Source organism: Homo sapiens, chromosome 2, assembly GCF_000001405.40.
Source record: "Homo sapiens chromosome 2, GRCh38.p14 Primary Assembly".
NCBI classification, from domain to species: domain Eukaryota; kingdom Metazoa; phylum Chordata; class Mammalia; order Primates; family Hominidae; genus Homo; species Homo sapiens.
Genome location: NC_000002.12, coordinates 207031348 through 207046945, shown reverse-complemented (window position 1 = coordinate 207046945; position 15598 = coordinate 207031348). Strand labels below are relative to the sequence as shown.

Sequence of the window (15598 nt, the reverse complement as noted above, 5' to 3'; positions counted from 1 at the left end):
AGCTGGAACCTCAGAGAAAGAGGCTGCGGGAGGGCAGCTTAAACCATAGAGAAGATAAAATCACTACTGTGAACTGTGACCTGAAGAAGAAAGAGAGAACTTACGCTGGGTTCTCCCCTCCTCCTGCCCTTTGGTGCCTCCCATTGACTGAACCTAGCCAGAAGCCTGTTGACAAAGAAGCCTAGGGAACAAATTGCAGAGCCATCAATGTGTACAGACTCAACAGAGATGGATTTCAACCTTGAAGGGGAATGAACTCTTCATGCCTATGAGATTGAATAAAGAACTACTTGATATATTCAAGAGGAGCCATTTAGATTCAGGGTTTCAGCATTTAGCTGGAAGGTGTAAAGATCCAGAAGTTCAAAGCCAGGTGATTATTTTGTTATAAAAGTACTTGAGTGTAAAATGATAAGAAACATGAAAAGAAGTGCTGACAATCCCATACCTTTTGGGAAGCTGCTGCTGGTTCTTCTTCTTCTTCTTCTTCTTCTTCTTCTTCTTCTTCTTCTTCTTCTTCTTCTTCTTCTTCTTCTTCTTCTTCTTTTTCTCCTCCTCCTCCTCCTCCTCCTTCTCCTTCTCCTTCTCCTTCTCCTTCTCCTTCTCCTTCTCCTTCTTCTTCTTCTTCTTCTTCTTCTTCTTCTTCTTCTTCTTCTTCTTCTTCTTCTTCTTCTTCTTCCTTCTTCTTCTTCCTTCTTCTCCTTCTGCTGCTGCTGCTCCTTTCTCCTCCTCCTCCTCCTCCTTCTTCTTCTTCCCTTCTATTCTCCTTTTTCATCTAGAGAGTTCTTATCCACAATCATTTTAATAACTCACCAAAAAGCTCCATTATTATTTATTGATGCCAGTTGTGTAAGTTATGGACCAAACCACTATTATCCATGGTGAGAGAAAATGGCTTAGCCATCATGGAAGGTCAACAGTGATTCTTTGGCATGTTAAACGGTACAAAGGGGTGAGAAAAAATGTGGTGTCTTTGCTTTCTGCAGAGTTTCTTTCAAGCTGAGGAATGTCCTTTTTAAAATAAATCAATCCTGAGTATGAGAGAGATAGAATCAATCTGATACATACTGTAAATGTTCAACAGCACCTTGGCTTCATTTCTCTGTCCTAGACCGTAACACTTGTTTCTTATAAAGTGCTGGGCTCTGGCTCTCTTCCCAGTACAGAATGGGCTCCCTTGCCATTTCATTACCAGAAATTACAATGATCATCTGCCTAACTGGGAATAGCATTATCTGAAACACAATTAGAAGTAAACTGAAAGTCTAGGTGGCCTAGTGATGACTAATCAGAAATATCACTGCCTAGCACGTCATATCAGATTATAGTTTCAGGATCATCACAGGTTTTCCTCGTTTTCAGAAGCTCCTCAATTGCCATTAACATGGCTGGAAGGAATGAAGCAGTTTATCAATGTCTTCAACTTAGATATCAAGAAATTAAAACACTTCTGTTTCTGGGGTCATCAGAAACAAAGACCCTGGTCATAAAATGTCTTCAAAACCCCTATGTATATAACAGTGATTTGGTCTATTCTGATTCTAAGTCTGGAATTCTCGCCCAGTGGGAGTGGGAGGAAAGTAACTCTGAAAACAGGTCTGCTCAGGGCTAGAATAGCACACACTAATTTAATGAGGCAGCAGGGCACATGCTCCAAGGGAAGCTAGCTACAGGAATTTTCCCAGAAGACAGAAAGCACTGGAACATGGCTCTATTTGCAACTGGAAATGAGTGTAGGAAAAATCACCTCCATATGAGTAATGGGGACCTAGCCTTAGGTCACCGACTCCGCCAAGGCAAAGTCCCTTCTCTCTAAGGCAAAAATAAACAAACCTAAAAAGGAACTGTGAGCTTGTTTTGCCACAATGGAAGAGTATGTTCCAATGTCTGTTATATGTGTTTATCCTTGAAATAATGTAGCCACATGACAATGGAACTTTTGGTCAAAACTTGGTTCAGATTAACCCAAGATGCTGAGGACCCCGTGGTCAGACAGGAAAGCCAACGGCCATATCTAAGGTAGTCCAGGAGAGAAGGATTAAGAATCTTGACAGCAGGAGCCCAAGCCTCTCTAGATTCTCTTTTTCAGGGCTCATCAGAAGAGGTGGCAATAATACTGTGTAGCGGTCGCCAGTAGCAGCATCCAGTGGGGGAGATATCTGGAGCTGCCTAAGGACAGCCACGATGGCTGGTGAGTGAAGCCATCCCTGTGACCAGAGCGAGGGTAAAGAATAATACAATGAAGATTTAGTTTGTATCGGCACTCTCTGTGCATTAAATATAAGAGACATGTCCCCAAATGAATTGCAGTCTTTTCGACAATGATGCTCTAGGAAAAAGAGCAAATATTGACACTTCAATAATGTTTGCCCAGCAATCAGTGAGCTGTATACAGCACTCAGGGTATCTATGTTACTGGAATCAATTAGGAAAAGGGAGAATTGATATCCGTCAGTGAAAAATATATGGTAGCTGCTGACATTACAGATAACGTGGGCTCTGCAAATCATTTCTGAAGTCCTAGGCCTGCCGACACTGTTATTGGTGCTTAGGGAATCTGTCTGAGAACACAGCCCTAACTTCAGTTGTGCTGTTCACTGTGCTTACCAGACTCTCTCCTCCAATATGCAGTTTCCATCCCACACAAGTAACTATTCCTAGTCATTCATTCATTCGTTCATTGATTCAGCAAATTTGTTGAGAACCTACCTTGTGCTAGCACTATTTTAGGACAGAGTTCCTGGTTGGAAGGGGAGGAGAGGGAAGGATATAAACAATGAAAAAGTACATAGTAAGTGATATATTGTGTGAAAATGAATAAGTCATTTGAAGATTTGGGTAAAGAGGATTCCCTCCAGGGGATCAACTGCAAAGGCCCTGAGGTATCTATCAACTGCCTTATCTTGACACTGCTGGTGTGTTTTGTTGATCTTTGGTCTCTGGTTTCTTCTTAGACTGGTTGCTCCTTCCTTCCTTCTTTTCTTCCTCCCCACCTTCTTCCTTCTCCTCTCTCTTTTATTTTATTATTTCTTAAGATATACTGTCAGAGTCTTTTAAGGAATTGATGGCCATGAAGACCCTACACCATAAAGACTTATCTTCCTATTAGATCTGTGTTGTTGTTGATTATTCAGATGTCTCTCTCACCAAATAGATTTTTGCTTCCTTGAAGATAAGGATAGACTCAAGTTTCTTAGATTTTTATGGATTTCCCAAAGTATCCAATATAATGAGGGGCAGATAGGAGAGGCTCAGCATAATGAAAGTTGGCTCAGTCTGAAACACTATAAGCTGGAGAAGCTTATTGATGCAAATGTGCCCACCAAAGATACTTTTTAGATATTTTTGGACTATATGTTCTTGATTGCTCTCCTTTTGTTTGTTATATATATTTGATCTATCTCTAGGGAACTAACATTATTTAAAGTACTCTGGGGAAGAAAGCCCTAGATGTCGTTGATGGTTTTTGTTTTGCTGCCTTCAGAGTATCAGTTCCCATCCTGTGAAGTTAACTACTAATGTCTATTGATAAAAGCAGTCCAGTAACGAATAGTTTTTATGTGAAACTAGGTATGTACAGTGTAATCAGGCTGGATAAAGTTGAAAGATAAAGCTCATTAGCTTCTCTTAATAGAAGGCGATTCCAAAGAGCCAACTAATGATTTATATAGGTTTGGAGAAAGCCCAAAACCTTAACTTTTGGAGCCAATGAAAATTTTATTTTCTCACTGCACCTCTTTTGAGAGAGGAAAGATGTCATGCCCCTGGATGAGATGGGGTGGTGGGGAAGGTTTAATGTAAATTCTCAGCCTGTGTATTTTAGGATCACAGCTTTGGCACCCAACCTACAACCAATGTAGATGAAGAGGGTTTTTACAGCAGTGGGCTGGTGCCATAGTGATAGGATGGTTGCTAAGGATGTCATTATCACTCTGATTGCAGGAATCAGAGTGATTGAGTTAATTGGCATGACCTCATTCTGGTCCTCGGGGCCTACCTGTTCACAAATTATAAAGGAGACAAAAAGTTGATCTTTTTATAGTGTCAGGAGGCAGCACCTGTTAACATTTAACATAACATTTGAAACCAGCTATAATACACATTATGTATCTACCTGTTATCTTTTTCTCACATTGTGTCCTCCTTCTCTCCACTACATACAATTAAGACATGCCCTTCTTAAATTTTTTTTTTCATTGCTCTATTTTTCTCCATTCCCTCTAGAGGAAGGGGATTTTTTTTTGGTCTGAAAATCAGCCATTAAACTGAAGAAGGCTCAAGGAAATGAACTGAAATGTCTCATAGGAAGAAAAATAGCACTATGAAGATGAAAAAAAGCCCAGGATAATGGAGATTGATCGCTCGATCTATCTATGGCCTCAAATAAAACTGATTGAATTTAACATGTTAGGTTACAGTTAAAAAGCTTAGTTGCTTCAGTTGGGGTAATATAGTTTCAGATTTTCATAGGGAGCCATTTATTTATTTTTGCATTTGTGAGTCATTTAGTCATTCCCTTGTGAGTGAGAATACATTTATTTTCCTACTCCCTGCTGTTAGGCGTTCTATTAATACCACACTAGTTGAAATAAATGGAGCAGTAGAAACTGTTTGGTGGTGAATTTGTTTTTCAGATTTTTTTTGTTACTGCTATTTTCGTAAGTCGGCTTTCCAACCCCTCCAGTGGTTTAAATAGAGTATTAACTTCTCACCGTTTCTCTTCTCTTGCTTCGTATTTAATTGCTGCTTTTGTTTCACTATTGACAATTTCAACACCACCTGAAGGTGTATAATCCAAGAAATCTAACAGTGGATGTCTGGTAAAATATTCCCAATCAAGCACCAGGATTGTCAAAAAATTATGGGCAAAGTGACAGTTGTCTTAAACATCAGGTTTCTCTCCACCTGTTTGTGCTCTACCCAAAAGGAAAATCCAACCTAATGAAGAGAGGAATTGTTCCTACATGTTATCAAGCAGTAGTAGCATGGGTCATGTTTTCCAGAATTCTAAAAGGGGATTTTCAGATGTATTTTATTGTGCTGGAACACAATAAGATTTGCTCATGCGCCTTTGCACTAAAGCTGAGCAAAATACAACGTCCTTGTTATTCTGGACAGCTGATTACTGTCAGTAATTGTTGTTTGTAATGAACGCCACGCGGGATAAAGCAGGGTGGGGGTGGGGGCTGGGGGGAGGGTCCGCTTAGGTTTTGAACCACATTCAGCCCATTGAGGCTGATTTAACCCAGCCGCAGGAGAGCTCCTATGGGGGCACGTCCAGAAAAGCCCCAAAGGGGGATTGGAGGAAAGCACGTGGATCTACACTCTTTCCAGCACCGGCAAAGGTCAGGCAATAATCGAATCACTCTTCCTCGGCTTTCATTTCATCAACTGCACTGATGAGGATGGGGGAGGGGGCATGAAGGAAGGGAGCGGTAGGAAGTGGTCCATCCCTCCTCCTAAGGAGGGGGAGCAGGCTGGACAAGGACATTCCATTCTATTTGCTACTCTCACAGAAGCCTTGGGAAAGAACAAAGAAAGAATGAAAAGGAGACAGATATGCTGGGCACGCGCATTCACAAATACACGTGCTCACGCTCACACACACCCCCATTTGCAATAGGGAGTCAATAAGAGCAGAAATAATTTATGCTGAGGCTTCAAACAGCAACCTAGAAGTGTAAAGTGGGGAGGGGAAAAATCCATCGCATTTCTAAATGTTTGGCTGCCCTCTAAGACCTCAAGTTGTACCTATGCCTGAAACAGGTAGAAACACAGTATCACCTGAAAGTGTCAAATGGGGAAACCGAGGCTCAGAAAAACCAAGTGGATCCTCTCAAAAACACAGAACAAATATTCAGGGAAGTGGCGACTAAATCTCAAGTCTGTGTCACGAGCTGGTGTTCCTGAGACCACAGGGCCCCGTGCAGATGGCATTAGTTAAAAGCAGCACATTGGAGGAAGCACTAGAGATCCGGAGCCCACACGGTTCCCTGCAGTCTACTTCATAAAGAGACTTCACGTCTTGGCGAGGATCTTGGACTGTCTCTGATTTCTTTCACTTGTTTTATAAAACCAGTAAAGTCAAGTCATTGAAACATTTTACTGGCAGTTCTGGGTGTATTCTAATTGTCCTGTAGTGGGAATTCCCGTTATTGCCAGAGAGAAAGCAACCACTCCAATTCCTTGAGGACTACTTAGAGGGTAGATTTACGGGGAGGAAACAGGAATGGGGTTGAGGCATAACTTCCTAAAGCCATTTTCTCTGATTTGGGGGCGAGGGGGGGCGGGTAGAGGGTAGCTTTTGCCACTAATTTCCTGCCTGCACATTCTTAAAAATTTTCACCATTTCCTCCACCACTCCCATTTTCATCAACATATTTGAAATCCTCAAGGATCACTTTTCAGAGCCCATCTCGTCTAGAGGTGAACCATCACCTCTAATGCTAAGGCGGGTCCCAATCACATTCTGCCCCTGTCCAAGCTGGCTGCTGGCTGGGAGAACCAGTTCTAGTGTTTGCCCCATCCCAGCCTCTACCAAGGTTAATGAAATTGAAAAGCAACTCGCTGCGGGCCACGGTGACTTTGCATTGTGCTGGAGACAGTCAGGGTAGTGTTTGCTGGCTGTGGCTCTCACAAGCAAATGTCACTGAATGTGTTTAGAAGGAGCGTGCTTAGTTGGACACTGTCATGCTGTAGGAGACAAAATCAACTGAAAAAGGAAGAAAGAGTGTAGAAGAGTTTTGTGTCTTAGTGTGTGGGGTCTGGACTTTGATCTAGGTTAAAATCTCACCTACAGTAGATTTTGAATCTTGGTCAAGTTATTTAACCTCTTTTGTGCCTCAGTTTCTTTATCTGTAAGAAAAAAAGACTAGTAACTAATTTACAAGTTTATTATGAGGATTCAGTTATACTATGTGTATGAAGCATTTAGCATAGTTAGGAACATAATTAGTACTTGACAAACCTTCGTTTATAACAAGCCTTGCTCACTAGGTGTTCCTGTAGCTCAGTTGCCCTTCCAGCTGTTTATTTTGTAGAACTAAGTAATACCTTATAGTTAAAGTCATCATAGGGAAAGGAGGGACCTAAACTTTTTTGACTTTATATTTTGCTATTGATGTTTTTTCTAAATATCAATACCACTCATTAAGGCAGTTAGAGAGAATGAATGTTGCAAAATGAAATTTTATATTATAAAGTCTTCCAAATGTTGAATTTCCCATTCTGCTTGATCTTATGGTTTAGTAAATTAAATACAATACCATTGAGTGATGGGTTTGCCATTATTAACTAGAGATTGTCAAGTGTCCATCTAGTCCCCACTATTTGTAATGTTTTGGCAGCTTTGTGGTCAAAACAGGCAAACTCCATTTTGGTGGGACGTGGAAGCATCCAGTCTTATGGTTAGACATGGCTCCTTTAACTGCAGGAAGCTAGAGTACATAGGAGGCATTGCAGCCTGCTTGTCTGGGCAGGTGTTTTAGGGACCGTCCAGCTGCTGAGATGTGAAGCAACTCCATTCCGGCTGGCAGGCAGCAGGTGACAGCCCAATCACTTCCTGCCATTGGAGGAGTTAACACAGAGTGTCATAAGATGACACCATGAGGGGGTGAGCACAGGGATAGACAGTTCAGAGCGTTCAGACATCCTGGCAGGTGAATAGCATCAGGGATGTCTTAGGGAGACAGAAGGGTCATAGACACCACACTCCCTCCCTTGACAATGGTGGAAGGGTGCAGAGAGAGTCTGATTCAGGCCCTGGTTCTCTACCAAGTCATTAAGACGAGGCTTCAGGCTTTGGGTTAGAAAGCCAGCTGTCAGGACTGGAGGGCAGGCAGGGACCTGATCTTAATGGCAACAGCAGAAACAATAATAGGCACCCTAGGAACCTGACAGCAATCCTTAAGCTTTAGTAGGTTAAGTCAACGAATCCTCACCACAAGCTTATGAGCTGGGTATGATTATCAATATGCCCATTTTTCAGAGAAGGCAACCGAGGCTGAGAGAGAAACTTGCCCAAAGACACACAGCAAATAGCAGAGTTGGGATCAAACACAGGCAGTCAAACTCCAGTGTCCACTCTCAGCCACTGTGTCAAACGGCCTCTCAAAGCAGGTACTCCTTAGAGGGTTATAGAGTCCCAGAATCTTGGCCGGGGACAAGCCTGCAGGTGAGTGCTGAGAGGCCCCAGCTACCGGGAAGGAGGTATGCAGGGAAAATCTAGGCTAGGCCTGACACTGTGTCACAGTGTCCCTTGGAGGAAAGCATCTCAGCTCTTCTCAATAAATGGCAGTTTGTGTTCCATTCAGGAGTTTCTTCTGTTCTAATTCAGATCTAGGAATTTTGGCTCAGTCCTAACCCAGAGATCCCCCAGGAAACCAGATAATTTCTGGCACTACTCTGTAGAATTTAAGCAGACTCAAAGATTCATCTGCCATGTGGTCAGATCATAGTGGAGCTCAAGGGAGAAAGTGAGGCGTATTTGTCTGCATACCAATGTACAAATCTTTTTCTTTGGAAAGAGAACTTGGATTGATTGAGGTTCTACAATATGCTTTACATAAGGAATTGCTTTCAATATTTACAATATATTCATTTCTAAGGCTACTGTCTGTAACAAAGTACCACAAACGGTGTGGTAATTGATTGTTGTACAATTGTACAATTCTGGAAACTGGAAGTCTGGAATGAAGATGATGGCAGGGCCGTGCAATCTCTGGAAACTCCAGAGGAAGGGTCCTCCCATTCCCCTTCCTACATTCTCGTGGTTTGCCAGCAGTCCCAGACTTCTTTGGCTTATAGAGTCATTATTTCAATCGTCTGTCTTCGCGTGGTATTCTCTCTGTCTCTTCACACCATCTTCTTCCTGTGTGTGTCCGTATCCAAATTTCCTCTTTTTATAAGGACTCCAGTCATATTGGATCAGAGCCCATCCCAATGACCTCATCTTCATGTGACTATATTTGCAAAGATCTTATTTACAACTAAGGTCACATTCTGAGGTACTGGGGTTAGGACTTCGGTGCCAGGGGGCAAAATTCAACCCATAATATACAAAAGCCTTATTCAATTAGTACCCCGCTCCTCACTTTTACAGACAAGGAAAAGGAGGCTTAAGTTCACTCAGATAGTAAGTGGTGGAGTACAAGTGTAGGGGTGGGTTGCCCCTACACACCTGTGGGTGTTTCTCGTAAGGTGGGACGAGAGATTTGGAAAAGAAAAAGACACAGAGACAAAGTATAGAGAAAGAAATAAGGGGACCTGGGGAACCAGCGTTCAGCATGTGGAGGATCCCGCCAGCCTCTGAGTTCCCTTAGTATTTATTGATCATCTGTGGGTGTTTCTCAAAGAGGGGGATGTGTCAGGGTCACAAGACAATTGTGGGGAGAGGGTCAGCAGACAAACACGTGAACAAAGGTCTTTGCATCATAGACAATGTAAAGGATTAAGTGCTGTGCTTTTAGATATGCATACACATAAACATCTCAATGCTTTACAAAGCAGTATTGCTGCCCGCAGGTCCCACCTCCAGCCCTAAGGCGGTTTTTCCCTATCTCAGTAGATGGAGCATACAATCGGGTTTTATACCGAGACATTCCATTGCCCAGGGACAGGCAGGAGACAGATGCCTTCCTCTTGTCTCAACTGCAAGAGGCATTCCTTCCTCTTTTACTAATCCTCCTCAGCACAGACCCTTTACGGGTGTCGGGCTGGGGGATGGGTCAGGTCTTTCCCTTCCCACGAGGCCATATTTCAGACTATCACATGGGGAGAAACCTTGGACAATACCTGGCTTTCCTAGGCAGAGGTCCCTGCGGCCTTCCGCAGTTTTTGTGTCCCTGGGTACTTGAGATTAGGGAGTGGTGATGACTCTTAAGGAGCATGCTGCCTTCAAGCATCTGTTTAACAAAGCACATCTTGCACCGCCCTTAATCCATTTAACTCTGAGTTGACACAGCACATGTTTCAGAGAGCACGGGGTTGGGGGTAAGGTCACAGAAACTCAAGGCAGAATAATTTTTCTTAGTACATAACAAAATGGAGTCTCCTATGTCTACTTCTTTCTACACAGACACAGTAACAATCTGATCTCTCTTGCTTTTCCCCACATACAAGAATCAAATCAAGTCTAATTCAAAGGTCTGTATTCTTCCTGTCCACATAATACTGCCTTCTCAGGATAGTAAGTAGTTTCTTTGGCTCTTTAAATGACACAAGGTACTTTTTAAGAACCACTGTGTTTTCTTACTGCTCGTCTCAATCTTGCTAATGACTTGGAAGGTCCAGTGCTCATTCAATGCCAGTGCTTTCAACAAGCCTCTCCTACTTGCTACTGCAGAAACATAATGTATACCCCATGTTATGAAGAGGAGTCATAGATGAATATATGCCGGGTACTTCTAAGGGTAGATGTTACATCCCAAGATCTGTACACTGCTCAGGAGAGTTTCTCATATTGTATAAACAGCAGATGTCATATGATATGTCTTAACTCTAGAAAGGTTTATTTTCTGTACAAAGAATCAGAAACTTGGAGAGATAATCCCATATTGGCATCTGATTCCTGGAAACGAAGTGTGTGGCCTGGGACTGTTCATTTAACCCCTCAACCTCACCATCTGGGACCTGGAGGTAATGATGCCCCTCTCTTTGGAGGCAACATTTGAGTGGCTTCAAAAATGTCCTGGAAGTCTCTGGCAAAAGGAAATGCTACATTGACAGCAAAACATTTAACCGAAAATAATTGGAATTTGTAGATTATCATTCTTAGGGATCCCAAATTTCTTATGGCTGATCTGCATTCCCAAGCCTCAGGAATTGGAAGAATTGACCTGGAATGTTGCCAAAAGTTAAATGCTCCCTGATCTTCTTCTTCTAACTGTTCTGTTTTCTGTTAGAATCATGATTTGAGTTCTCCCTGAAAATGGAACACTAGGTCAAGGGGGATGTTTGGGATCATTAGCTCCCATCAATCGTCTGGGAGTGAATGTGCATCTGCATGAAACTTTTCTTTAGAATTTCTTCTTTGATAAAATGTATGCAGCATCCAGTCTCAGAGATAGATTCCCCTAGTCTCCCTGCCTCATTCAAGTTGTTTAATTATATTGTTTTTACTATCCCTTGCTGTCTGACTTTTGGATACCCATATAATTATCAGATTAGCTCCTATGTAAAAATCCTTGTTTTTGGTTTTCCTTCCAATATGCTAAATATATGTCTAGTGGCACAGAGCTGGCACTAGTACATTAAGCAACCCAGAATAGAGTAGAGTCAGATGTAAAAGGTTTGCATCTCACTTTATTTTTTAAATTTTATTTTTATTTTGTTGAGGCAGAGTCTGGCTCTGTCACCCAGGCTGGAGGCTCACTGCAGCCTCAAATTCCTGGGCTCAGGTGATCCTCCCACCTCTGCCTCCTGAGTAGCTGGAACTCCAGGTACAGGCCACCATGCCTAATTAATTTTTTAAAAATTATTTTTCTTGTAGAAACAAGGCCTTGCTATGTCGCCCAGGCTGGTCTTGAATTCCTGGCCTCAAGCCATCTGCTCACCTCAGCCTCCCAAAGTGCTGGGACTACAGGTGGGAACCACTGTGCCTGGCCGTGTCTTACTTTATATTAGAACTCCTGAGCATTAGACACTCTTGCCCATGTTGGAGCTCTGCTAGGAAGAGAATCACATCGCAGCACTATTTTGCAGCATGGTTTCCACTTATCTTTATTAATAAATTGCATATTTACAAGTTCCAAATAAGAGAGAAATGCATTCCCATTACATTAATGTTTCCTGTAATGAGTAGGAAGACGGCTCATTAAAATTATTTGAGGTGCCACCTTTGACACTCAGTCTGACTTTCTGCTTGCTTATGGTTCAAGTCCTTCTTGATGTCTCTATTTGTTAAAAAAAAAAAAAAGAGAGAGAGAGAGAGATTTAGAGCTGGCTGACTTCTGTAGGAATGCTTTCAGACTGTTCATTTCCTGGCAATCAGCTATTTGGTCAGAAATGTGGAGTTATTTGATAAGTGTTTAGTCCTTAAATGATGGTCACTGCAGGTGAACAAAGAGAAAACAATTTAACTTAAACAAATGCCATTGTTAACTCACTCAACTGCAGCAAACTTATATCAAAACCAATAGAAAATCTCTCTAGATGAGCACCGTTCCACCTCTATGTGTAAATGAATGATTGACCAAAAGAATCTACAAATGGCCTTGTTTTCTTCAATTTTCATGTGTTTTCTGATGCTGGACTTCATCAGAAACTTGAAAACATAGTTTCTGATCACAGCACTTTTTAAAGAAACGGAATTGTTTGAGGGACTCAATTGCTGTTTATCTATTAGCATAGGTATATCGAGTTGAGATAATTCATTGAACGCTATCATCCTTGCAAAGCCCTATTTTATTTTGGTTTGTTACCCCTTTCATGTCCATCTCCAATCATCCACTGCAACACTTTCATCAGCACCTTCTCAAGTGTGTTTTACAGATCCTTCTAAACCACCTTCCATATGTTTATTTGGTATATTGGTGTTTACCAACAAATATTTAGTGTCATTTATATATTTTTTAAAGTTCTATAGATGGTAATGTGCTATGAATCTCATTTTCCTTCTCATTTTTATCTAACATAGTATTTTTGAGATCTCTATGTACTTCCTCTATATAAATCTAGTTCATTGCTTCTGAATCCTGCAGATTTTTCTAATACATGCATACACCATTTCTGACTCCTGCATGTAATGCACTTTACTTATTCATTTCCTTAGGGGATATCTATGGGTTACCCAGATTCTCTAGTGGATACTCAGATTGCTTCCAACTTTATGGTACCATAAATAATGCTGCAATAATCTTATATGAGCATGTTTCCTTGCGGATCTGAGCAAGACAGTCTCTAGAGTATGTATCCAGGAAGGGAATTTTTGAGTTCTATTATACCCATACTTTATTTCACTAAGTACTTCTCAGGTTGTGATACAGAATGTTTCTACCAATTTATAATTCACCACCAGAAAGGACAAAACTTCCTGATATTCTTGCCAGCGCTTTCTAATTTTTGCCAATCTAATGAGTGCAATATCATATCTCATTTTGTTAAAAAAACCCACAAAATTTGTACGTCTGATTACTAATGAGGATGTATATCATTCATATACACAATAGCTATTTCAATTTTCCTGTCAATTGCCTGTTCATGTGCTTTGCCCATTTTTAAAAAAATTTTTGTTTCCTGTCCTTTTCTTGCTTGTTTGCAAAGTTTCTTGTATGTTCTAGATATCAATTCCACATTGCTTTGCAAAGATCTCTTTCCAATAATTTGCTGATTTTTCTATGGATAAATGGAAGTTTTAAGTTTAAGTGTGGTCATTTCACGATTTTTTTTCTATTAGCTGATTTCCATTAATGGTCCCTATGTAAAATCCGTGTGTGATTTTCCTTCTGGTATGCTAAATGTACAACAAACAGCAAAGAGCTGACTTTGGTACATTAAGCAGCTCAGAATAGAGCCAAAGTGGGCCTCATCTCACTTTATATTAGAACTCCAAAACTTTAGATATTCTTGACCATATTGCAGCATTGCTTACAACGGAAGCAGATTATAGCTCTATTTAACAGTATGGGATCACTTATCTTTATCAAAGAACAACAACAAAAACAAACCCAACACACAAGTTCCAAATAAGAGAGTAATACATTTTCTTTGTGCTCTTCCTTCCTATAATGAGTATGGCAATAACTAATTGAAATCATTTGCAATGCCACCTCTGATACTTAGCCTGAACTTCCTATTCACTTACCATTCCCTGCTGTTCCTAGTGTGGTTTAGTGTTTTGGTTTGGTTTTTTGGGTCTTCAGTGTACGGAATTTATTTATCATATTCCTCTGTTTATGCCTTATTGTTATTTGTCCATGCAAGTCTCTTTATTTCTTATTTTATGAATGTATGAATATATTTATATGCACACATATAATAACATAAATCTATCTACCTACCTACATACCTACCTATCTACTTAGGCACCATTATGGTAGATGGAATTACTGATTCCAAATATTTAGCCTACCTGTATTATTATTATATATCTATACCCTTGCCATAGCCAGGAGGAATATTCCTCCTGGTGGGTGGAACATTTTTCCTGACACTGGACTTTGGGCTTGGCTGAATAACTTGCTTTGGTTAACAGGATATTAGTCCCATTGCATTAGCATGGTTAGGCTTGCCCACCTGAGCACCTGCTCTTCATCACAAGAAAAACATAACTTGGTAATGACTAATCTAAGAATGGTGAGAAACATATGGAACATACCTGGACCCAACCTTTAGCTTGTAACCGAGTTCCTAGCCTAGATAAGCCAACTCCAAACCGACCTTCAGATGGTGTGAAATAAATGTTTATTTATGAACCACTGAAATTATAGTAACTATTATGCAGTATTACTGTAACAATAGCTAACTAATGCATCTTTCACCCTTCATTCCTTCTGCCTTTTTTCTTCTATTTGCATATCTCATTTTATTGTCATAACACTACCATAGGTTAATGTGCTTTATGTGTATCCTTTTAATTCAAAATCGTCTTGAAATATATGTATTTTTGTGTGTGCATAACTTTTTAATTTTTGTAAATAATATTATATATCTTCTGTTTCCAACTTTTTTCACCAAGCATATGTGTATTGATTCATTTCTAATTGACATAATAATTATGTATATTAACGGGGTACAATGTAATGTTTTGTAATTCTTTGCTTCCAACTGCTACATAATACTCCATATTGTGTCTCCATCACGTTTTTCCTATCCACTCCCACAGTGATAAATACCCAAGTTACCTATAAATCCCTACTCCCTTAACCCATGTTGCAATGAACATGGTCATACATGTCACTTTACAGACCCCAAGGATGATTTCCAGGATACATATCCAGAGTGGAATTGCTAACTTACAGGACACATGCCTAGTTAATAATACTAAATAGTGAAAAACTGCCCTATAGCCTGCCTTTGCTTCAGCAGTGCCTGAAAGTCCCAGTGTCCCTATATCCCCACATCCTCTCTAATACTTGGTATTATCCAACTGTCTATTTTTTTGGTCAATCTAATTGTTTTAATTTGTATTTCACTGATTACCAATGAGTTTAAACATCCTGATACATGCTTGTTAACTTTCTAGATTTCCTCTTTTGTAAAATCGCCTTGCCCATTTTATCTATTGGAGTTATATTTTCCTTATCCATTTTTAGATCTTTGTATATTAAAAAAATCCCTTGTTGGTTTAGATGCCACAAATATCTTCTTCATCTTGGTAGATATCTATTAATGTGTGATGTCCTTTATTGAAGTAAAATTCTTAATTTCAGTGTAAATTAGTTCTTTTTTTGGCCTGATGATTTATGCTTTTCAAGTTTTGTTTAAGAAGTCATTTCCTGCCCTGTCACAAGAATACTGCCTTACATTTTGTAATTTTAACTTAATTGCTTCACCAGTCACAGTTATATATTTTTTCAAGTTTCTAAGATTTTCTAAATTATAAATGTAAGTACTGAACTTTATCAAACAATGTTTTGCATCTGGGATGATCAGGTAATTA

General features: G+C 40.3%; 2 annotated features.

Moving 5' to 3' along the window:
- Positions 8596-9423: an enhancer, noted in NCBI's record as "OCT4-NANOG-H3K27ac hESC enhancer chr2:207902247-207903074 (GRCh37/hg19 assembly coordinates)". NCBI's record gives its function as "activates a minimal SCP1, AML or CMV promoter by ChIP-STARR-seq in naive H9 embryonic stem cells {active_cell/tissue: H9 hESC(naive)}" and the evidence as "EXISTENCE:reporter gene assay evidence [ECO:0000049][PMID:30033119]".
- Positions 9424-10249: an enhancer, noted in NCBI's record as "OCT4-NANOG-H3K27ac hESC enhancer chr2:207901421-207902246 (GRCh37/hg19 assembly coordinates)". NCBI's record gives its function as "activates a minimal SCP1, AML or CMV promoter by ChIP-STARR-seq in naive H9 embryonic stem cells {active_cell/tissue: H9 hESC(naive)}" and the evidence as "EXISTENCE:reporter gene assay evidence [ECO:0000049][PMID:30033119]".